The sequence below is a fragment of the Homo sapiens genome, chromosome 19 (assembly GCF_000001405.40).
Source record: "Homo sapiens chromosome 19, GRCh38.p14 Primary Assembly".
Taxonomy (NCBI): Eukaryota; Metazoa; Chordata; class Mammalia; order Primates; family Hominidae; genus Homo; species Homo sapiens.
Genome location: NC_000019.10, coordinates 178,100 through 203,832, shown reverse-complemented (window position 1 = coordinate 203,832; position 25,733 = coordinate 178,100). Strand labels below are relative to the sequence as shown.

General features: G+C 44.7%; 1 long non-coding RNA gene and 2 pseudogenes across 1 annotated transcript; 2 read left to right on the top strand and 1 right to left on the bottom strand.

Annotated features, from left to right (window-relative positions):
- Positions 1-1,623: 1,623 nt before the first annotated feature.
- Positions 1,624-6,817, top strand: LINC01002 (long intergenic non-protein coding RNA 1002). Its single transcript, NR_028324.1, has 3 exons — positions 1,624-1,792; positions 2,020-2,077; positions 2,171-6,817. It is a non-coding gene; the product is annotated as a long intergenic non-protein coding RNA 1002 (long non-coding RNA).
- Positions 6,865-10,635, bottom strand: CICP19 (capicua transcriptional repressor pseudogene 19; annotated as a pseudogene).
- On the top strand, positions 12,477-15,061 carry SEPTIN14P19 (septin 14 pseudogene 19; annotated as a pseudogene).

Sequence of the window (25,733 nt, the reverse complement as noted above, 5' to 3'; positions counted from 1 at the left end):
GGAACTAATTCTGTATACTGAGGGATGACGACTGTGTATGTTTTTACAATTACGCTGTAGGATACATACTGTTGCATAGCCTTGAAAATAATAATTTTTAATTGAGTGGAATAAGAATAATATTGATAAAAGTAGCAGCTGGCCAGGTGTGGTGGCTCACACTGGTAATCGCAACACTTTGGGAGGCTGAGGCAGGAGGATGGCTTGAGGCCAAGAGTTTGCGATAGGCCTTGGAAACAAAGGGGGAGTCACCATCCCTACAGAAAAATACATGAATTAGCCTAGTGTGGTGGCATGTTCCTGTAGTCCCAGCTACTTGGGAGGCTGAGGTGGGAGGATCACTTGAGCCCAGGGAGGCTGAGACCGCAGTGAGTCATGATCAGGCCTCTGCACTCCAGCCTGGGTGACAGAGTGAGACCCTGTCTCAAAACAACAAAAAAGTAGCAGCTAACATCAACTGACCTTTTACCAGGTGCCTATTGATACCATAGTTTAATTTCTTATAACTGTTTCTTATTTCACTTACCAACTCTGTCTTCAGTTACTCCCAGATTTTTACTGTGTGTGTACAGATGACCTTTTGCTTAGATTGAATTGTCTCCCCAGAAGTAAGATTACTGTGAGTCATGGTGAATGGACATTCTCCTTACCCTTGATGTAAATTGACAGGGTTTTGGGTGCCTCCCAGCTATAATCTTAGCACTTTGGGAGGCTAAGAGAGGAGGATTGCTTGAGGCCAAGAGTTGGAGGAGGCAGTATGGCAGTATGGTGAGACCCTGTCTCCATTATTTTAAAAAATTGACAGGCTTTACCCTGGAAGGCTTATACACAATTTAACCACCCCTCATAGTATAAGAAAGTGCCCATTTCACTGCACCTTTGCCAGCACAGGGTATTATAATTTAGTAAGCCATTTTTTGTTTGATTATTTTAAATAGACAAAAGACCTCATATTACTTTACTTGTCACATTTCAACATCTTTCCTCAGCTTATTAGCTCTATTTCTTTTCTGTCTGTAAATGGTTGTTGTGGTTTTGTTCTTTGAGACAGGGTCTTGCTCTGTCATCCGGCTGGACTGTAGTGGCATAATCATGCCTCACTGCAGCCTTGACCTCCCAGGCTCAAACTTCAGCATTCCGAGTAGCTGGGACTACAAGTGTGCACCACCACCCCCAGCTAACTTTTTTCTTCTTTTGGATAGAGACAGGGTCTCACTGTGTCGTCCAGAGCGGTCTCTAGCTCCTGGCCTTAAGCAATCCTCCTGCATTAGCTTCTGTAATGGCTGGAATTTCAGGCATGAGCCACCATGCCTGGCCTGGGCTAGTCCCATATTCTCTAGAGTTATCTTTACTCTGTGCTAGCCAATCTCTCATTATGCTGTTCACCTGTTATAATGAATAATTCTCTGTATTAAATTTTACCACTTTAAACTTTTGAGTGGTTTATGCTTCCTGATTGGACTCTGACTAATATGTTAGGAAGGGTCCCAGGAGGTAAACCCACACAGATGGGATTTGGGCATAGGTTTGGTTTCCCAGGGGGCAGTGCTGAGCTCTTTGCCAGTGGGAAATGGGATGCTGGTGATTTCCAGTAGGTGACCTCACAGTGACTCAAGCTACCACTTACTGTTGATTGTGACGAAATGCCAGCTGAGGCACATGCCTTGGGAGCTAAGTGGTTGCTGCCCTTGACCACTGTGAAGACTGGTGTGGGAAGGGTCGCTTTGGATGCACTTGAGCAGGGGTCCCCAACCCCTGAGCCATGGAGCCGCAAGGAGCCACACAGCAGGAGGTGAGCGGTGTCGAGTGAGGGAGTGAGGGAAGCTTTGTCTGTATTTACAGCCACTCCCCTTTGCTCACATTCCCGCCTGAGCTCCACCTTCTCAGATGAGCAGCAGCATTAGATGCTCATAGGAGAACGCACCCTGTTGTGAACCGTGCATGTGAGGGATCGAGGTTGCGCTGTCCTTATGAGAGTCTAATACCTATTGATCTGTCACTTTCTCCCATCACGCTCAGGTGGGACCATCCAGTTGCAGGAAAACAAGCTTGACACGCCCACTAATTCTACATTATGGTGAGTTCTATAATTATTTTATTATATATTACAGTGTAATAATGGAAATAAAGTGCCTAATAAATGCAAATGTGCTTACATCTTTTGGCCCAGCTCCTACCTCCCGGCAGCCTCTCCAGGCCCAGAACTTTCTCCAGTCAGCCTCTACAGACCAAGCTCATGACTCACAATGGCCTATTTAGGCCCATACCCTACGTCACGGCAGCCTCCGCAGATGAGGCTACTGCCTCACAACAGCCTCCACAGGCACAGCTCCATCGTTACAATGGCCTCTTTAGACCCAGCTCCTGCCTCCCAGCCTTCTCTCCAGGCCCTGAACTTTCTCAAGTCGACCTCACCAGGCCCAGCTCATGCTTCTTTGCAGCCTCTCCAGGCCCAGCTCCTGCATCTTGGTGGCCCCTCCAGGCCCAGCCTCTGCCTCCCGTCAGCCTCTACAGTCCCAACGTCTGCCTCACAGCAGATTCTTCACGCCCAGCATCTACCTCACTGTGGACCCCCCAAGCCAAGCTCCCAACCTTTCAGCAGCTTCTACACACCCAGCTCCCGCCTGCCAGTGGCCTCTTCAGGCCCATGGGGCTCATTCCTGACAACGGCCTTTCCAGGCCCAGTTTTTCCCTTCCGGCGGCCTCTCCGGGCCCAGAACCTCCTCAAGTCAGCCTCTCCAGACCCACTTGCACCCTCCGGGCGTTCTCTCCGGGCCCAGCTCTTCTTCCTGGTTGGGTCTCCAGGCCCGATTCCTGCCTCTCAACAACCTCTTTGGACTCAGTGCCTACCCATCTCCTGGCGGCCTTGGTCGGCCCACAGCTTCCTCAAGCCAAGCTCCCCAGGCCCAGGTCAGGCCTCACGGTGGCCTCTCCAGGATGAGCTCCTGCCCTCCGATGGCATCTCCAGGCCCCAAATGGTCTCCGGTCGGTGGGCTCCTCCACGCCAAGGTTGGGCCTCCCGGCGACTGCCGCAGGCCCAAGTTGTCCTGAAGTCGGGCTCTCCCGGCCCTGCCTCCCAGCAAGTAAGCAAGCTCTTTTGGCTCAACTCCTGCCCAGCTCCCAACCGCCTTTGTAGGCCCCGAACTTTCTCCAGCCAAGCTCTGAGGGCCCACCTCCTGCCTCCTGGTGGCCTGTACAGTTCTAGCACTGGTTGGAGAACAGCCTCTGCAGGCCCCGCCCTTGCCTCCCAGGGGCCTCTCCAGGCCCAGCTCTTGCCCCCACGGCGGCCTCCCGGGGCCAAGTCCCTGCCTGCCTCCCAGCAGCCCGCGTGCGGCCCAGCTCCTCCCTCACGGTGGCCTGTTGATGCCCAACTCATGCCTCTGGCACCCTGCCCAGAGGCGTGAGCCCCTGCCTCACACTGGCTCCTCCCACGCTGAGAGAGGTCAGTGTGAGCCCCTTGCCTCACACCGGCCCCTCCCACGCTGAGAGAGGTCAGAGTGAGCCCCTTGTCTCACACCGGCCCCTCCCACGTGGACAGAGGTCAGCGTGAGCCCCTTGCCTCACACCGGCCCCTCCCACGCTGAGAGAGGTCAGTGTGAGCCCTTGCCTCACACCGGCCCCTCCCACGCGGACAGAGGTCAGCGTGAGCCCCTTGCCTCACACCGGCCCCTCCCACGCTGAGAGAGGTCAGTGTGAGCCCTTGCCTCACCCCGGCCCCTCCCACGTGGACAGAGGTCAGCGTGAGCCCCTTGTCTCACACCAGCCCCTCCCACGCTGAGAGAGGTCAGTGTGAGCCCTTGCCTCACACCGGCCCCTCCCACGCGGACAGAGGTCAGCGTGAGCCCCTTGCCTCACACCGGCCCCTCCCACGCTGAGAGAGGTCAGTGTGAGCCCTTGCCTCACCCCGGCCCCTCCCACGTGGACAGAGGTCAGCGTGAGCCCCTTGTCTCACACCGGCCCCTCCCACGCTGAGAGAGGTCAGTGTGAGCCCTTGCCTCACACCGGCCCCTCCCACGCGGACAGAGGTCAGCGTGAGCCCCTTGCCTCACACCGGCCCCTCCCACGCGGACAGAGGTCAGCCCGAGCCCCTTGTCTCACACCGGCCCCTCCCATGCTGAGAGAGGTCAGTGTGAGCCCCTTGTCTCACACCGGCCCCTCCCATGCTGAGAGAGGTCAGCGTGAGCCCCTTGCCTCACCCCGGCCCCTCCCACGCTGAGAGAGGTCAGTGTGAGCCCTTGCCTCACACCGGCCCCTCCCACGCGGACAGAGGTCAGCGTGAGCCCCTTGCCTCACACCGGCCCCTCCCACGCTGAGAGAGGTCAGTGTGAGCCCTTGCCTCACACCGGCCCCTCCCACGCGGACAGAGGTCAGCGTGAGCCCCTTGCCTCACCCCGGCCCCTCCCACGCTGAGAGAGGTCAGTGTGAGCCCTTGCCTCACACCGGCCCCTCCCACGCGGACAGAGGTCAGCGTGAGCCCCTTGCCTCACCCCGGCCCCTCCCACGCTGAGAGAGGTCAGTGTGAGCCCTTGCCTCACACCGGCCCCTCCCACGCTGAGAGAGGTCAGCGTGAGCCCCTTGTCTCACACCGGCCCCTCCCACGCTGAGAGAGGTCAGCCCGAGCCCCTTGCCTCACACCGGCCCCTCCCACGCTGAGAGAGGTGTGAGCCCCTTGTCTCACACCGGCCCCTCCCACGCGGACAGAGGTCAGCGTGAGCCCCTTGCCTCACACCGGCCCCTCCCACGCTGAGAGAGGTCAGTGTGAGCCCTTGCCTCACACCGGCCCCTCCCACGCGGACAGAGGTCAGCGTGAGCCCCTTGCCTCACACCGGCCCCTCCCACGCTGAGAGAGGTCAGTGTGAGCCCTTGCCTCACACCGGCCCCTCCCACGCGGACAGAGGTCAGCGTGAGCCCCTTGCCTCACCCCGGCCCCTCCCACGCTGAGAGAGGTCAGTGTGAGCCCTTGCCTCACACCGGCCCCTCCCACGCGGACAGAGGTCAGCGTGAGCCCCTTGCCTCACCCCGGCCCCTCCCACGCTGAGAGAGGTCAGTGTGAGCCCTTGCCTCACACCGGCCCCTCCCACGCGGACAGAGGTCAGCGTGAGCCCCTTGCCTCACACCGGCCCCTCCCACGCTGAGAGAGGTCAGTGTGAGCCCTTGCCTCACACCGGCCCCTCCCACGCGGACAGAGGTCAGCGTGAGCCCCTTGCCTCACCCCGGCCCCTCCCACGCTGAGAGAGGTCAGTGTGAGCCCTTGCCTCACACCGGCCCCTCCCACGCGGACAGAGGTCAGCGTGAGCCCCTTGCCTCACCCCGGCCCCTCCCACGCTGAGAGAGGTCAGTGTGAGCCCTTGCCTCACACCGGCCCCTCCCACGCGGACAGAGGTCAGCGTGAGCCCCTTGCCTCACACCGGCCCCTCCCACGCTGAGAGAGGTCAGTGTGAGCCCTTGCCTCACACCGGCCCCTCCCACGCGGACAGAGGTCAGCGTGACCCCCTGCCTCAACAGGCCACCGTGAGGGAGGAACAGGATCGCACTCGGGCTGCTGGGAGGTAGGCAGGGACTTGGGCCTGGGAGGTCGCGGTGGGGCGAGAGCTGGGCCTGGAGACTCCCCTGGGAGGCAACAGCGGGGTCTGCAGACGCCCTTCTCCAGCCGGAGCTGGGACTGTTCAGTCACTGGGAGAAGGGATGTGGGTCTGAAGAGCTTGGTTGCAGAAACTTCGGGGTCTACAAACGCAGGCGGGAGCTGAGCCAAAAGAGCTTGTTTGCTGGGAGGTGGGAGATGCAGCCAGGAGGAACAGCTGGGCAATGCGGGAGGCAGAGGCCAGGCCTCCTCAAGTTGGCCTCTCAGACCCACTTGCAGCCTCCCGGCGCCCCCTCCGGGCCCAGCTCTTCCTCCCGGCTGCATCTCCAGGCCGGACTCTGGCCCGACTCCAGGTCCCAACAACGTCTTTGGACTCAGCTCCTGCCCAGCTCCCAGCGGCCCTGGTAGGCCCACAACTTCCCTAAGCCAAGCTCCCCAGGCCCAGCTCAGGCCTCGCGGTGGCCTCTCCAGGCTCAGCTCCTGGCCCTCCGATGACATCTGCAGGCCCCAAATGGCCTCCGGTCGGTGGGCTCCTCTAGGCCCAGCTTGGGCCTCCCGGCGGCCTCCGCAGGCCCAAATCGTCCCGAAGTCAGTCTCTCCAGGCTTAGCTCCAGCCTCCCGGCGGCCTCTGCAGGCCCAAGTCGTCCTCAAGTCGGCCTGGAAGTGGGCCTGGAAGAGCAGCAAGTCGGCCTCCCTGGGCCCAGCTCCGTCCTCTCGACGGCCTCTCCAGGTGCAAAACTTCCTCGAGTCAGCCTCTCCAGGCCCAGCTCCTCCTGCCTCCCAGTGGCCTCTTTCAGCCCAGCCCAGCTCATGGCTCTCGGCGGCCTTCGCAGGCCCTGCTTTTGACTTTTGGCAGCCTCTTCAGGCGCAGAACTTGATCTCCAGTCGGCCTTTGCAGGCCCGGCCTCCTGCCTCTCGAAGGCCTGCACGGGCCCGGCCTCGGCCTCGGCCTCACAGCGGACTCTCCACGCCCAGCTAGCTCTCGCCTCACTGCGGCCTCCCCAGTCCAAAGCTCCTGCCTTTCGGCCACTTCGGCAGGTCCAGCTCCTGCCTGCCAGTGGCCTCTTTAGGCCCAGCTCATTCCTCACGTCGGCCATTCCAGGCCCCGTTTTTCCCTTCCGGCAGCCTCTTGGCCTCTAATTTGTTTATCTTTTGTGTATAAATCCCAAAATATTGAATTTTGGAATATTTCCACCATTATGTAAATGTTTTGGTAGGTAATTTATTTGGAGTGAGTTTCTGCGTCAAGCCCGAGTTTTTTATTTTATTTTCCTTATTATTTGGTGTTAAACAGGTTTAATGACGGTCATGGCAACTTTTTGGCACAATGAAAAATGTCGCCCACGATCAACGTGTTCTGTTCTGGGGAAGGGGGCAAAGGCAGGGTGAATCACTTTCTTAAAAAGTATAGCTCAAGTTGGGAGTGCAGAGGGAATGGGGAGAAAACCCTCCCACTGCCTGTGTCGAAGTGCAGGAGCCCCCACCCCCATACTCACCTGAGTCCAGCCCCTCTGGGGAAAGAAGGGGTGCATGAACTCCCCCTAGTCCACAGGCGCCTCCCTGTGGCCCAAGGCCCTCTTCACACTCCATCTTGTAGCCCCAGCAGGAGCTATTTTCCGAAAAGTGAAAAGCTCTGAAGGTCCCACAATTCATGGTATGTACAGGGGCTCGGAGGAGGGAAACTGCCCAGCTTTCCCCCGGCACAGCTGCAGGGGTAGGGGGTATAGATAAGAGGAGCAGGCCTTGGCCAGGCGTGGTGGCTCACGCCTGTAATCCCAGCACTTTGGGAGGGGGAGGCAGGCAGATCACAATGTCAGGAGATCGAAATCAGCCTGGCCAAGATGATGAAGCCCCGTCTGTACTAAAAATACAAAAATTAGCCGGACGTGGTAGCGTCTACCTGTAATCCTAGCTACCCGGAAGGCTGAGGCAGGAGAATGGCGTGAACCCGGCGGGAAGAGGTTGCAGTGAGCCAAGATCGCACCACTGCACTCCAGCCTGGGCGACAGAGCAAGACTCGGTCTCAAAAAAAAAAAAAAAAAAAAAAAAAAAAAGAGGAAGGCCTTACTCCGTCCCAAACTGAAAGGATTAAATGGCTTCACCTGGGAGAAGATAACCATCCTGCCCTCCATTGCTACCCCCACATACTGTCCATGTTCTCAGGGGGTACTGTGAGTCCTGGGATCTTTGGGGTTGCCCACCTGCCTGTGCTAGTTATGGAGACCCCCAGGTGTTGAGGCAGGGCTGGGGTGTCCCCTTCCAACCAGGCTGTCAAGGCCCCAACTCTGGGGCAGAGGCAGTGGCAGGGCAGCCAGGGTTGTGCCAGAGCCTGAGCAGGTTGAGGTGGGGTCAGGCAGGGCTGGGAGTCAGGGCAGGGGCAGCAGCAGTGGACCTGCTATGCACACATCTTCTTCTCCAAGGTTTGTGTGCAGAACATCCTGCCCATGCTGCCCCAGCAGCTTCAGTTGGCACCTGCCTCAGTCCAGCCTCTGGGAACCATGCAGCAGCTCCCAGCGGCCCTGCACCCACCACCAGCATCCGTTTCACCTGCAGTTGAAGATCCGTGAGGTGCCCAGAAGATCATGCAGTCATCAGTCCCACGGAGCAGCCTGCGAGGCTGAGGCTCCTCCCACTGGACCGCCCCCCAACTGGCACCACTGCTGCCCCTGCCCCTACTCTCAGCCTCACGTGACTCTCGGGCAGAAGCAGTGGTGGGGCAGCCAGGGCAGCGTCAAGAGTCTGAGCCAGGTGAGGTGCGGTCAGGACCCCCACAGGGCTGGGAGTCAGGGCAGGGGCAGAACAAACCTTGGAGGGGAAGATGTGTGCATAGTGGGCCTGGAGGGCGGCTGTGGCCTAGTGGACAGGAAGAAGCAGTGGGCCTGGAAGAGCTGCATGATCAGGGCCGGCACTGGTCCAGGGTACGTGCAGTGAAGAGGACAGCGCCTTCTCGGTCTCCGGTTCCCTGAGCCTGTCCTCGGCTTCTCCACCTGTACAGGCAAAGGGGAAGCTGTCCCCATCACACGTGGCACACTTGGGGGTGTTGGGCTTTGGACTGCAGCTGGAGCATCTTCTCATCTTGCATTTGGGCGCGGTGGGGTCCTCCAGTGTGGGATCCATGTCCGTGGGGTTCCCTCTGCCCCGACCCCGAAAGCCCAGTCAGTTTCTCTTCAGGCTCTGCCCCCCGGGTGGCTCAGCCCAGCTCCTGCCTAGGAAAGCCTTAGTATTGGGAGGGACCCTGATGACTGAGGAGCCTGGTAGCTCCAGGTCGCCCACACTTTCAGGTCTCTTGCACCAGAAGGTGGCAGGATCCATTGGGAGGAAACAGGCCACCTTGGAAGGCGTCCCTGGGCCCCCATCCCCAGGGGTTGGGGCCGTAGGGGGCCCGCTCTGCTGCGTTGACCAGACTCCTGGGCTTTGAAGGCTCCTGGGCCCAGTAAGAAGGAGGTGGGTGCCAAGGTTGAGGAGGAAGCATCCGAGTATGTGTAGGAGGAGGACAGGGTGTGACCATAGACTGCCAAAAGCTGCAGGTGGATCGGGGGACCCTGGGGGCTCAGGATCCAGCAAGGGGCGGCAGGAGTAAAGGAGGAAGGAATGACAGGTGCAAATACCTTCCCACCAAAGCCCTTGTTGCCCTCTGGCTCCTCCCCAGAGTTGTCCCCACTCTCAGTCGGTCACCCACTCCTTGAACTTGAGATCGGTGTCGGTGGTGCTAAAGCCATCATCAGCAATGACATCATCACCCCCTCCTCCTCATGGATGACCGTGTGCTCTTCGTCACTCGCTATGACCTCGCTGGCCATGTGCTGGGAATGAGCAGCTCACGTGGGCGGCAGCAGGGCTGCCCACGGGTCACCTCCCTCACCAGGGGCTGCAAAGTGGCCTGGAGCTCCATGCTGAGTAGAAGGCTTTGGGCCAGAGTATGATGCAGTGCCAGACACCACCTGTGTCAGTTCCCGTAGTGCCTGACGGTCTATTTCCCTGCCGTCCAGGCTGTGTACCCCGCTGTGGGAGAAGGCTTGGGCCAGGCTGAGCCAGGTTCCCTGACTGTGTGCAGCCGTTCTGCCCCACAGAAGCTGCTCCTTGGTATCCGAGCTCTGGAGTGTTTGGGCTGCAACTGACAGGAGTTCAGAGGACACCCCAGGGGCAGTGGCAGTGCCCGTCTCTGATATGCTCCGCTCCCACGAGCCCTTGTTACACTCCTGCTAGCCCCTGGCTTGTGGGCTTGGCCTCTGAGCTGGACTTCTTTCGGTCCTTGTTGCAAGTGGGCCACCTTCACCTGGAAGGCCAGGTTGTATTTCTGCATCTCATTGGGCCCCAGGGTGTACCACCGCTCGCTCAGCATCTGGCTGACGGTCCGGTTATCCTGGTTGGGATGACCCTGGTGCGCCCCGCCAGGGCCTGGTGCCGCCTGCTGAAGATCATGAGCGCCACTCATGGGCCACCGGATGTGGTCCTTGTCTGATTTGTTGGGGCTGCGTCCATCCTTCTCAGAAGATGAGTCCTGTTCCTTGCGCAGGGCACTGAGGGACTGGGCCTGACATCATCTGAGTGGTAGAGGCAACTGGGTGTCAGGAGACATGATGGAGAGGAAAGCATCATCATGGTCATTCTCTGTCTCACTGTCCAGCAGGGACTCCCCTGAGGGGCCCAGGGCTCCTCCTCCATGGTGGGAGGTGAGCTTTTACCAGGTTCCACCACCCCCAAAGTGTGTGGGGTTGCGGGCCCTGGGCTTTCAGGGCAGGTGGCTCCAGGGGGCTGCCCAGGGTCAACACTCCCTGTCCCACCTGGTGGACGCTCATGAGCAACGGCTGCCAACTTGGCAGGTTGTTTTCTCTGGTTGGAGGCCACTGAGTGACTGGCAGGTTGCTGGGCCTCGTGTGGCTGCAGGGAGGGGTCAGGAAGGGGATGGAGTACCAGGAGAACACGGCCGCAGAGTGACCTTCCACATTCCTCCACACGAACATGCTGACGCCACGGGAGGCCTCACTGAACGCAGGCCTGGGGGCCGAGCACTTGGTCCGGGCAGGGGGTTCCTGGCAGGGGCTCACACCTCCTCGCCCCCTCCTCAGCCAAGGTGGCTTGGGCCCAGAGAAGGGGAGGTTGGAGAGGAGCAGAAGGCCAGGCCTCAAGTTTTGTTTTTTTTGTTTGTTTTGTTTTTTGTTTTTGAAATGTAGTTTGACTCTTGTCACCCAGGCTGGAGTGCAGTGGCACGATCTCAGTGGCCTTCATACCTGGCTAATTTTTTGTATTTTTACTGGAGGTGGGGTTTTGCCATGTTGGCCAGGCTGGTCTTGACCTCCCGACCTCAGGTGATCCACCCACCTCAGCCTCCCAAAATGGGATTACAGGCATGAGCCACCGCTCCCAACTTCATTCATTTTTACTTGAAAAACTCCGTTAAGCATTTTTTTAAGGTAGACCTAGTGGTCCTGAATGCCCTCAGCTTTGTTTGTCGAGGAAACACATTATTTCTTTTTCCTTTCTGAAGGACAGCTTTGTCAGACATAGTATTAGTTGCTGGCAGTTTTTTTCTTTCAGCACTTTGAATGTATTATTCGATTCTGTCCTGACCTGCAAAGTTTCTTTAACTTTTGACTATTTGATTATATTGTGACTTGGTGAGTATCTATTTGGTTTGAACCTCTTTAGGAATCTTTAAGCTTCATGGATTTAGATGTCTAAATCTTTCCCATGATTTAGGCAGTTGTCAGCCATTCTTTAAATAAGCTTTATTCTCCTTTCTCTACTTTCCTTCTCAAACTCCCATAACCTGACAATGGTTTGCTTAATGGTGTCTTGTTGGCTTTCTTTTCTCTGTCTCTTTTTTTTTTCTTTTTGAGACAGAGTCATGCTCTGTCACCCAGGCTGGAGTGTAATGTGTGGTCTCGGCTCACATTGCACTCCAACCTCCGCCTCCTGGGTTCAAGTGATTCTCCTGCCTCAGCCTCCCAAGTAGCTGGGACTACAGGTGTGTGCCACCACACCCGGCTAATTTTTGTATTTTTAGTAGAGATGGGGCTTTGTCATGTTGGACAGGCTGGTCTTGAACTCCTGACCTCTTAATCTGCCTGCCTCGGCCTCCCAAAGTGTTGGGATTACAGGCTTGAGCCACCACACCCAGCCTTCTTTTCTCTCTTTTATTCTTTTTTTCTCTGTCCTCTGACTGGATAATTTCGGAAGATCTATATTCAAGTTTACAGATTCTCTCTCCTGTTGAAGTTGACTATTGTGTTATATCACCCAGTCTGGTCTTGAACTCCTGGGCTCAAGCGATCCTCCCACCTTGGCCTCCCAAAGTGCTGAGTTTACAAGCATGAGCCACTGCATCCAGTCAGTCCCAGCACTTTGGGAAGCTGAGGTGGGAGGATCACTTGAGCTCAGGAGTTTGAGACCATCCTGGGCAACGTACTGAGAACTTGTCTCTATATTAAAAAAAAAAAAAAGTCTTTGGGAGGCCAAAGCGGGAGGATCACCTGAGGTCAGGAGTTCGAGACCAGCCTGGCCATCATGGCAAAACCCCATCTCTACTAAAAATACAAAAATTAGCCAGGTGTGGTGGCACACGCCTGTAGTGGTGATGCATGCCTATAGTCCCAGCTACTCAAGAGGCTGAGGCAGGAGAATCACTTGAACTGGGAGATGGAGGTTGCAGTGAGCTGAGATCGCACCAGTGCACTCCAGCCTGGGCAACAGAGTGAGACTCCATCTTATAAAAGGAAAAAAGAAAGAAAAGAAAAATTCCATATCTGAGTGTTTACTCCTGAGTTTTTGAGATTGTTATTAAGATCGTGCTCTACTGTGATGATTTGGGTTTGTTTGATAATCAGAAAAAAAGCGTATTCTTTTAGGTGTTCAGCCACACTGCTTTGGTGTCACAACTGCACATTGGTTTCACAGCTGCAGGACAAGTTCGAGCATCTTAAAATGATTCAACAGGAGGAGATAAGGAAGCTCGAGGAAGAGAAAAAACAACTGGAAGGAGAAATCATAGATTTTTATAAAATGAAAGCTGCCTCTGAAGCACTGCAGACTCAGCTGAGCACCGATACAAAGAAAGACAAACATCGTAAGAAGCAATAGTTTCTCTTACTATTCTGAGAGCCTTATCATTCTACATCCCATCTTCCTGTGAGTTTGTCTTTGTAGCATTTAACTCTAATTGCAGTTCTCATTTTAAAAACTGGCTTGCTTATTGTATATTTTCCCCAACTAAAGCGTGAACTCCTAGCAGGGCGTGGTGGCTCATGCCTGTAATCTCAGCACTGTGGGAGGCCGAGGTGGGTCGACTACCTGAGGTTAGGAGTTCGAGACCAGCCTGACCAACATGATGAAACGCTGTCTCTACTAAAAATACAAAAATTAGCTAGGCGTGGTGGCTGGGACCTGTAATCCCAGCTACTTGGGAGGCTGAGGCAGGAGAATCACTTGAACCCTGGAGGTGGAGGTTGCAGTGAGCAGAGATCTCACCATTACACTCCAGCCTGGGTGACAAGAGCAAAACTGCATCTCAAAAAAAAAAAAAAAAGGGGGTGAACTTGAAGGCAGGTCCTGTGTCCATCTTTTCAGATTCTGTATCCCAGCACTTAGGACATAGACAAACACGAAGATGACAATCAATATTTGCCAAAATGAAAAAACAAAAGAAACATGTAACATCATGTAAAAGAAGCTGGTTAGGTGGAGAAATTTATTTACCATAGTCTTGCTTGTGGATCCAGTAGTGACTTTTACAGTTTATATCTAAATAGAAGCTGGAGGCTTTGTTGGGGACTCATAGGCATAAAATATTATTTATTATAGAGTTAAATGCTACAAAGACAAATCTAATTAATAGGCCTATTTTCCTTTTTAAATTCTACTCATAATTTCTTCATAGTTTTTATGATAAAAGGTTGGATTTTGATTAGAACTCCCATGCTTTTGTGTCAGAATTAAAACTGGTATTAGAATAAATAATTCAAAAGCTAGAGAAAGAGTACAATGAGAAGCCATGAGTTGCATTTGAATTATAATATTATGTCTTACAGATTTGGGGTATATGCTAAAGTTACCAAAGTTGTAGAAAATAAGGCCGGGCATTGTGGCTCACATCTGTAATTCCAGCACTTTGGGAGGCCGAGGTAGATGGATCATTTGAGGTCAGGAGTTCGAGACCAGCCTGGCCAACATGGTGAAACTCCGTCTGTACTAATAGTACAAAAATTAGCCAGGCGTGATGGTGTGCACCTGTAGTCCTTGCTACTCAGAAAGCTGAGGCAGGAGAATCGCTTGTACCCAGGAGGCAGAGGTTGCAGTGAGCAGAGATTGTGCCACTGCACTCCAGCCTGGGTGACAGAGTGCTATGAGTCACCACACCTGGTATGAGCCACCGTGCCTGGCCCACAATGACTTTTACACATGTTGTTAAACCATCTTACAGATTTTATAATTTGGGGGAAGAAAAGTTTTACTAAATTGTCTTTTAATGGAAACTCTACAAGAACCAGAATCTTTGCTTTGTTCACTTATGTATCCATTCCTAGGCCTAGAAAAATGTCTGACACATAGCGGCAATTATTCATTGAATAAATGGACCCAGCGATAGTACATTAGCTATGCTATATGCATACATTAAAGATGTAGATTATCGACTTTCAAAAGATAATTAATGTAACTTCTTACTGCTTCTGAACATGTTTGTGAGTTATATTGCTGAGGGACCTTTATCTTCTCATTCTTTCATCTTAACCCAGTGTTATAAAATTGAAATCACCAATATTATTCCATATCTAAAATTAATATCTACCTTGTAAAAAATATCACTCTGCTGCATTTGAGAATAGACTTTTTAGGTAATAATGATGCAATCCATAGGGTTTTTTGGGGGCACAGAGGGATTCATGCTAACAGAACATTTTATTTTCTATTTTCCCAGAGCTGTAAAACATGAAATTACGGTAGTATAAGGCATATTTTTACTCTTTTTATAATTTTTTCTAAAAAAAAATTAGTGTTTGTTCCCTATATAACTTTTAACTTTATAGGTAAATATTTGTTTCTTTCAGCTCCAGTTTTATGTGAAATAGAGTTTTCAGATTTATGTAGCATGGAAAGTTTTAATACGTCAGAGTTACTGATTTTTGCCAATCATTTTCTCAATTATTTCTTTTTTATCTTTAGTTGATTTTTTTGTAGTGACACATTTTGTTTCTAGTCTCATTTCCTTTTGTTTATATTCTATATATATTTCATTTTTGGTTACTATGAGAATTACATATAACATCCTAGAGTTATAACATTTTAATTTGAATTTATTTCAACTTAAGTTCAATCACATACCAAAATTCTACTGCTATATATATAGCTCTACTCTTTTTATGTTATTGATGTGACAAATTATATCTTTATTCATTGTATACCAGCTAACAGATTTACAATTACATTTTATGCATTTGCCTTTTAAATTATGTAGAAAATAAAAAGCAGAGTTACAAACCAAAATTACAATAGGACTGTTTTTATGTTTGTTTATGTATTTACCTTTACCAGAGAGCTTTGTATATTCATACAGCTTGCTTATTTACTTACATAGTTATTGCCTAGAGTTCATTTATTTCAACCTGAAGGACTTAACACTTCCTGAATGTCAAATTCAGGGATAAATGGATTTTTTTCAGTTTTAAAAAAAAATCCGGAAATGTCTTAATTTCTCCTTCATTTTTGAAGGATAAGTTTTCCAGCTATATATTTCTCAATTGACAGGTTTCTTCATTATTTTAAATATATAATCCACTGCCTACTGGCCTTCAAGGTTTCTGCCGAGAAATCAGCTGCTAATGTTATCTGGATCCCTATCTGTGAGAGTTGCTCTTCTCTCTGAGTTTTCAACATTCTCCCATTATCTTTTTTTTGTTTGTTTTTGAGACAAATAATTGTACATATTCATGGGATACAGAGTGATATTTTGATACATGTATACAATGCCCAATGATCAAATAAGGATAATTAGCATATCCATCACCTCAAATATTTGTCATTTATTTGTATTGTGAACAGTCAACATTCTTTCTTCTAGTTTTTTAAATTTATAAACATTTAAATTTTATTACAGAAATTTAAATTTTTTGATTCTGAAAAAGTCATATATGTATGCAACATTTTTTATCATTTATTTATATATTTATGCATCTTTCCTTTTAGTTTTGACAGAGATTTTCTATTTTATCATTATTTCAAAAGAACTCTTACCTGTATTTATTTATCAAGTATATTTCCCTTGTTTTTTCCTAGTATATTAATTTATTTACTTATCTTCTAAAAATCCTCCATATAATCTGTTTATTTTGTTTCCTTTCTATAATTTCTTCAATAATTAGTTCTGTTCTATTTTCCATTAAAATATTTAAATCTTGTATGAATTTTTGTCAGATTAGAAATTTAGGGCGTTTCTTAATTTCTCTATACTCTAGCTTTTGACTTTTTTTTTCTGACCTAAGAGGTATTTAGAGCACATTTTAGATTTTTTATTTTGACTAATCATTTAAAATGTATACTAATCTTCAATTTAAATAAAAAACTGGTCTATAGTGACAAAAATTACAAATGAGCCTAACTAATAAATTATCAGCTGTGTTTATATGTATAAGCATGCACAGATTTTGGTAAATATGTACATAGTATATTGGTGAGCTTATTTTTATCATTCTTAACTCATTGTGTAGTCTAAACGTTGGGGAAAAAATAAAATACAATAATCAGATGGTGTGAATAAGAAAATTGTTCTAATGTTTGTAAACCAAGCAACTGTTTTAACTGCTCCCCTCTTCCTGATTGACTTCTAAAAGGGATTGATCCATATTGGGTCCTATCATATACGTCACGGTATAACATCTCCAGCTATAAAATGGAAATTTGAGAATAACTTTGCTGCTACTCAGATACATTTTATTTCAAAAACATACACTAAGGTGTTGCTGTTGGATCTTTCCAAAAACATATTCACACAGAACTTTCAATCACACTGAGCCATATTTGAACAATCTTTCAAGGTCAGCTCTGGCATAAGCTAACATTATACCATTTAACTCAGAAATTTCTTTAGTATTTGATTAATGGGTTTATGTTTGATATGTAATGTAATTTTCTAATGCTAAATCAAGTGGTAATTTTGTTAGTCAAGTTGATTTAGTGGCTTGGGAAGAAAGCTTTTAATGTTCCCCTAATTTTTCTTACCTTTGACATGATCCTTCACATGTCTTATTTTGCTTAGTGATTTTTCTTTTTTTTTTTTTTTTTTGAGACAGGGTCTTACTCTACCACCCAGGCTTGAGTGCAGTGGTGCAATCACAGCTCATTGCAGCCTTGACCTCCCAGACTCAAGCTATTCTTCCACCTCAGCCTCCCAAGTAGCTGGTACTACAGGCACATGCCACCAAACTTGGCTAATTTTTGTAATTTTTGTAGAGACAGAGTTTTGCCAAATTCTCAGGCTGGTCTGGAATTTCTGGGCTCAAGTAATCCTGCCTTGGCCTCCCAACATGCTGATATTACAGACATAAGCCACAGTACCTGGCCAGTTTTCTTTTTAAAAAAATCTATTGGTTATTAATTTGAAGCCTTCCTTTTCATAGCTGTGCTCCTTAATTGGGAGCAAACATGAATGGACCACAACTTAGCCAATTTTCTATATATGATCTTTGCCATCCTAATTTAAAGGAATATTAATTCTTTCTTTTCCTCTTTCATTCCACAAACCTCTATTGACTACATCTAAGTTCTAAATGGTGCACTGGATGTTGAAAAAGTTGATGATGAGCAAGAACAAAATTCCTGCTTTCAGGAGACTTACAGTTCAATATGGGAAATATAATTTGTTAAAATATAAAAGTGCAATTGTGTTACATGCTGTACGAAGTACATGTTGACATGTGAGCATATAATAAATGGGCTGGAGGCCAGAGGATTGCCAAAGAGAATGGGCCTCCTGCTGAGATGAAAAGTTGAGCAGGGATTAGTTGGCGAAAGTGGAGGGACGATCCTTTCTAGGCAGGAGGAAGAACATGTACAGAATCTCTGAGGTGTGATGCGACAAAGTCTATATAAAAAACTGAAGAAAGGTCTAATGTGGCTTAAATACAGAAGCTAGTAGGAGAGGAGTCGAAAAGAGGCTGGAGAAGTAGAAAGTGTCTGCATTCTGCAGGAACTTATATTGTATAAAAAGAATTTCTCTTTATTCTAAGTGCAATGTGAAGCCAATGAAGTGCTTTAAACAGGTGGTGTGATTTGATTGAATTTATTACTTCACTTAACAAATATTCATTACATGCCCACTGTTTGTCAGATATTGCTGTAGCCCCTGGTGATACAGTAGGGAATAAAACAGGCAAAAATCCCTGTCCTCTTGCAGCTTATAATGGACTGCAATGTTTAATATGTCAGAGGAGGTCCACGGAGGAGTGACTTCTAAGCAAGAATCTGAAAAAAATGAGGATATCTAAGGAGGGAACAAATGGTTCAAAAGCCCTATAATTGCAAGCAGGCATGATGAAGCAATTGCAGTTGTCCTGACTCTCAACACCGTGGAACTCAAAGGAGATGGAAAGATTCCTTCTCTCCCTCATATATTTTCTCTCTTTCTGTCTATATATATAGAATATGAGACATTTCCCTAATCATTATGTGTAATTACAATTACATATATATATGTAATTGTAATTACACATAATGATTAGGGAAATGTCTCATATTCTTCTACTCAGAAATAAGCAATATAGCACTTACTGTTTTTTACATTTTACAGTTACAGTTTCAGAGAAAGTTTGATATTTATCTAAAATTTTTCAATGTATGAACTTTTTCATTTGACAAACCATAATTGTACATATTCTTGGGATACAGAGTGATATTTTCTTTACATGTATAGAATGTGTAGTGATCAAATCAGGGTAATTTCCACTAATTTAAAATGCCACCTTTATGTTATTGTAATTTATATATATACTATATATACACACACACACATATATATATACATGTCCACATACAGTGTGTGTGTGCACATGTACACACATGCATATGTGTATATAATGCCCAGTATAAGCAATGTGCACAAATAAAATTAGCTAACAGAGATAGTATAGAGTGAGAGGAGAGGCAGATTAATCTTTGAGGAAAAGCACAATTTTATAGCTGAATGGAGAAAGCTGAGGTGGTTTCTAAGATGGAGAATAAGACAAAAAATGTAAGTACGTTGTTTGACTGAATTCAAGAAAGAAGGGTAAAAGAGAAGAAAGTAGTGGTCTTATCATTAAATGCCACAGAGAGGTAAAGATAAAGACAACATATTGTTTTGGGTTTAGTAATTTAAGGGTGACCAAATTCCGTTTTGGAGGAGGAACAGATTCCATGTCCACTAGAATGGAATGAACAAGAAATGGAGGAGGAAAATAGGTAGTTTTTCAAAAGTTTTCAAAAATATGAAAAGAAGAAATGAAGTGGTACTTGGAAGAGATTGTTGAAATGGGAGAGACTATGGTGGCTTGTTTAGAAGCAGTTGAGATAGATCCAATTGAGATAGAGATATTGACTATATAAACAAAAGAATGACAAATTAATAGTGTAATGGATAACTTGACTTTGGCAAATATTGTGAATTTTTGTGAAAGTACAACTAAAAGGCAATGTCACTCCAATAATCACCAGAGTAATCAATTTGCTTATTGCTGTCCCTTTAAATATAGTTCTCTGGTATCAACTAACATGTTTTTAACTAATGATGCTTCTTAAAGAAAAGGGAAAAGACCTTTTTCTTTCTTTCAGTCTTCAATGATTCACTGCTTCATCTCGCTCCACCAAAGATAAATGAAATCTACATCTCTTATACATTAACAATGCATGACAATTTACAAATAGCTAAATTTTTGGAGCTAACTTTAAGTACCTGAATGGAATTTAATCAACCCACTAATCTCCTTCTCACTTCTCAGTTATTTATCAAGTTTATGTCAAGGGACAAGGAAAAATTATCCAAACATTGTTTAAAACAATCATCATTAATTAGTAACACTTATCCAGGGGGGTTTTTAACCTTTCCCCCACTCAAGGATTATTCTAATGTCAGAGTAGAATAAAAAATAAGTGCAGCGATGCTGACTCTTCCAAGCTTAACATTTCTCACAAGTCAATTAGCTTTGTACTGGGAGGAGGGCGTGAAGGGCTGCTTGCGGTAGTTGTGTAGCAGCAGCACAATGGCCGCAGACAAGGAAAACAGTTTCTAGGAATTCCTCGTATATAATTTTATATTTTTGACAAGATTAATGACCCATGCTCCCTTCCTCTCCATTTCTTTTTTTGGAATTCTGTTGGTATGTAGTTACTATATTTTATTAAAGGAAATTAGCCTTATCTCTTATTATATTTTATTAAAGAAAATTATTATATTATTCCTTTATATTTTTATTAAAGGATTTTATTATTATTAAAGGAAATTAGCCTTATCTCTTATTATATTTTTTATGACCTTCAAAGTAGTGTCTCTGCTTAAAAGTGTACCCTGGCTGGGCGTGGTGACTCACACCTGTAATTCCAGCACTTTGGGAGGCCGAGGCGGGTGGATCACGAGGTCAGGAGATGGAGACCATCCTGGCTAACACGGTGAAACCCCGTCTGTACTAAAAATACAAAAAATTAGCAGGGCATAGTGGCGGGCGCCTGTAGTCCCAGCTACTCAGGAGGCTCAGGCAGGAGAATGGCGTGAACCCGGGAGACGGAGCTTGCGGTGAGCTGAGATCGCACCGCTGCACTCCAGCCTGGGCGACAGAGCAAGACTCCGTCTCAAAAAAAAAAAAAAAGTGTACCCTGAAGCACACATCAAGCGACATGTAGAGTTCATAAATTCTGGCCAAATGGTCATACCTCAAACCTCATCAGCAGTAAGGCTCTTTACTTGCACTGACAAATATGAACGCTGGGGAATTTGGAAATGATATATAATATATAATATTATATATAATAGATATATAATATATAATATTATATATAATAGATATATAATATATAATATTATATATAATAGATATATAATATATAATATTATATATAATAGATATATAATATATAATATTATATATAATAGATATATAATATATAATATTATATATAATAGATATATAATATATAATATTATATATAATAGATATATAATATATAATATTATATATAATAGATATATAATATATAATATTATATATAATAGATATATAATATATAATATTTATAATAGATATATAATATATAATATTATATATAATAGATATATAATATATAATATATATAATAGATATATAATATATAATATATATAATACATATATAATATTATATATGTAATAGATATACAATATATAATATATAATAGATATATAATATTATATATAATAGATATATAATATATAACTTTCCATGTGATTTTCCTCTTAATTTTTTTCTAGCTGATCCATATGAATTCCTCTTATTAAGAAAAATAAAACATCCAGGATTCAATGAAGAACTGACTATCACCTTGTTAATCATTCAGAAACATGTTGCAGGCTTAAGCCATTTTTGATATAGATACTGAAACAATTACTTGCTAAGAGCAAACTTCAAGGTATGGATAAGGCCCTGAGTCATCTTCCTGAGCTGAATGATAGTTAAGCTGAATGTACGTATAAAATATGATTTTCTAACCACTTGCTCGCCAACAAGGAAAACTTTTAAGTAGAGCAGAACCTGAATAGACAAGACATTTCTTTCTTTTGGTAGAAAATGATTTACCATCACTGTGTAGTTAATTGTAGACTAGGTAATTTTAACTTTGTGATTTATTGCCGGAGACATTTTCTTCTGTACTGTAAAGTGTGTGTCAAAAAAAAAATAGCGATTTTGGAGGATTAGGGGACTTTGATAAATTGCCTGCAATTCTGGCAGTATGAACTGCATATTAATTTCTCTCTTTCAAGAACATTTTTATTTATTAATTCCTTACAAAAACTCCCTAAACTTTGGAACAGCTCTCAATTGCCTGTATTCTTTTTTTTCTTATTATGGTACTCTTCTAGAGATTTGGCTTGCATCTGTGAATAAGCCAGGACATCTTCAGAAATTGTCTGATTAAAAACACCACCAATGGAGTTTCATTAAATTTGTATTGCTCTGACTAGTGAAACACACACATCTATGTTGCTGAGGATATTTTACTGCAGTTCGAGTTGTAATAATAGCTCTGTTTAAGATCCGTCAGTCACTTGAATCTTCTCTAAGGCTTTGTATGTTAGAAGTTAATTTGCTTTCTTACAAGGCCACATTCTATCTTGTAACTAAACAACTGAATTTTATGTCTTAGCGTAGATGGTTTATTACTTTCTGGTTTTTCTTTAGTAAGAATCCTATAAAAACACTAGTATTTTTCTCTGAGTTTAAAATTCAATACATGCCTACTGATATGGTTAGGCTTTGTATCCCCACCTGAATCTCGTCTTGAATTGTAATCCCCATAGCCCCCATAATCCCCACAGGTCAAGGGAGAGACCAGGTGGAGGTAATTGAATCATGGGGGCAGTTTCCCCTGTGCTGTTCTTGCGATAGTGAGTTCTCACGAGATTTGATGGTTTTATAAGGGATTCTTTCCCCTTTGCTCGGCACTTCTTCATGCTGCCTTGCGAAGAAGCTGGCTTGCTTCCTCTTTGTCTTCCGCCATGATTGTAGATTTCCTGAGGCCTCCCAAGCTGTGCTGAACTGTGAGCCAATTAAACTTCTTTCCTTTATAAATTACCCAGTCTTGGGCAGTTCTTTATAGCAGTATGAAAACAGAAAAATACACCTACTATGTAAAACTTAAAATACAAAAAAACAAAACATTATCTCACTAACATAGGAGCTAATATTTTGGTGTACTTTGTTTAGTATTTTATATTAAAAATATGTACATATATATTTATATATAATTAAGAACATGTATGTACAATCGTGCATACATCATGTACATACATCTACTTAAGAAAATAGCTATGTAATATACCATTACTCAACTAGATTATAATTTTTTCTCCATTTCTTTATTGTAATTTATCATTTTCTACTTTTTTGTTTTCTCATTTTTATTGCATAATATTTAATTATGCAAAAAATACATTAAATACATTGAAAATATATAGTGTAGCTATAAGAATAAAGAACGATGGTAAAACAAATGCTAATACCCACTACCTGACTTAAAGAATATGATATTATTTTTTTCCAATTGAAATTCCCTCAACTACTCAGAATTACTGCTATCCCTCTTATCCTTTCATTAATTTTCTTCTAGTTTTCTCACATGTGAATCTATTTCTAAATACATTTCTTTATTTTGCAAGTTTTTGGACTTCATATAAATGTAACCATATTGTATATATTCTTCTTCAGCTTCTTAGTTTTTCACTAAACAATATGTTTTGCTGATACTTACATTCATATGTACAGTAATAGTTGATTTATTTTAATGGCTATATATTATTCCATTGTTAGAATACACCAGGATTTATTTTTACTTATTTTTTTTGCTGGAAAATTGGGTGTCTTTTTTATTTTTTGATATAACAAACAATGTTGTAATCATTTTGTATTTACTTCCTAGTCCACTCCTGTAAGTTTCTCTTGAGTACATACTAGCAATGAATATGCTGAGTCACTGCATATACATACTCACAACTTTATTCTATAATGTAATATTCTATAAAGTAGCTGTATCAGTTTATACTTTAACCAGTAATGGACAAGATTTTCTGTTACTTCCCATCTTTGTTAATTATTACTTTTAGACTCTAACTTTTATCAGGCTCATGGATGTAAAAAGCATCTCAGGGTGGTTTTAATTTGCATTTATCTGCTCATCTATGAAGATGAGCTTCTTTTCATATAATTATGAGTCATTATTTTTGTTTTGCCTTCTTTTGTTTATGCATTTTGCTTGTTCTATGTCTTATTTTTCCTGTTGATTTTTGGGAGTTCATATATATTCTAAATGTATATTTATTCACTTATATATATGTTGTAAATATTACAGTTTATGATTTGTCACCTTATGATATCATCCAAATAGAGAAGCTTTATATTTTGATGTAGTCATATGTTCATTTTTCCTCCTTAATGTTTGTTTTTCTTGGTTCTATGACCTACAAAAAGTAACAAAAATTCTCATTTATTTTTAATCTAAATGTTTTAAGTATTTTCCTGGAATTCACCTTGAATTGATTTCTATTGGAGATAGGTATCCAATCTAATTTGCCTCATATGGATAACCACTTGTTCTATTACTGCTGTAACAAATTTCTACAAACTAAGTGACCTAAAATAACACAAACTTGTCATCTTACAGTGTACACAAGTCAGAAATCAGGCATGAATTTTAGTGAACTAAAATCAAGTTGTCGACAGGCATGTTTCTTTATGGCGGCTAGGGTAGAATCCATATCCTGGCCTTTTCTATCTTCTAGAGAACATCAGCATTCCTTTTCTCATTGCCTCTCCTCTCTCTTTTTAAAGCTGGCAATGTCACATTTCTCTGACCATTCTTTCATTGTCACATCTCTCTCTGGACTCAGCTAAGAAAGGTTCTCCATTTTTAAGAACTCATGTGATTAGACTGGGCCCATCTGGGTAACCCAGGAAGATCTCTCCATCTCGGTTTGCATCCTTAATCACATCTGATAAGCCTTTATTGCATTCAGTGTAACATATTCACAGGTTCCAGGGTTAGGCATGGGCATCTTTGAGGGCCATTATTCTCCCTACCACATTATTTGCCTAGCATCTTTCATTACATTGTCCATCTATTTACTTACTGATTTCTAATGACATCCAAATCAGTTACAACATTTTATGTAAGCATTGTTTTTATTTTTATGTTATTCCACTAGTCTATTTTTCTACTCATCAATTATGGTACATGAGTTTATTTTTGCAACTTTAAGCTCAATAACATGTTTTAAGATTTCCTCAACTTTCTTTTTGCGCTTCTTCAGAAGTTGACTCTTTTGGCCCTTTGGTCTTCTATACACATTTTAGAAATGCTTTGTTGAGGACTAAGAGGAATGCTAAAATTTTGATAGGAATTTCATTGAATTTTGAGTATATTGGCATGCTACAATGGTTAGTGCTTTATACATGAAAATAATATATCCCTTCCTCTTTTCCTAGTATCATGAGATGTTTGTTAGGCAGACATGAATATTGAGTTGTATCAAATGTGGTTTTCTGCATTATTGTGGTGGTGATGTGATTTAGCTCCTTTAATTAGTTAATGTAATGAATTACATTTGTAGATTGCTCTAACTATTGAAACAAGCTTGAATTTCTGGAATAAGCCCAATGTGATATTTATTCAACAAATATTCATTGAGTATACCTAGTATGTAACATGCTTTAAGAATACACCAGTGAACCAAACAGAAATATCTGACATTACAGAACTTAACATTCCAGTATTTGGAGACAGACGATAAAAAAGTGAACATGTATATTTACAGTTTGTCAAGGAATGATAAATGAAGACTCTTAAAGTAGATGGGGAATTGGGAGTGAAGTCTGTAATTTAAATAGGGTGGGCAGGAAAGCTTCACAGAGAATGGGACATTTAAGAATAGACTTGAAGGACAGGCAAGAGCAATCTCTATGTTTATATGGGAGAAAAGGTTCCAGGCAGATGCAGTAACAATGGCAAATATCCTGAAGTAGGATCATGCTGGAGTTTTTGTGGAGCAGCAAGGAGGCTAGTGTGACTGCCACAGAATCACCCAAGGGAAGATGAGAAGATCAGACCAGACCAGCACTTGGGCATCTAATGGGAAAAGTTTCTCAAGCCATCATAAAAATTTCACTTTTACTATAAATACTATGAGAAACCATGGGATGTTTTACGGTAAGAAAGGTGGCATAATATGTTACATGTTTTAAACTCTATAGCTTCTGAGTTGATTGTAGGGGCTCCTGGCAGAAGCAGAGGGAACATTTAGGAGACTACTGTAAAGAATATCATGAAAAGAACAAACAACGCTATGTAACATGCTTAAATGGACTGAAGAAGATGTATAAAATCAAAATGATGTTACCTTCACACCTTGAATCAGTACGATAAACCCCCCTCCCCAATCACAAAA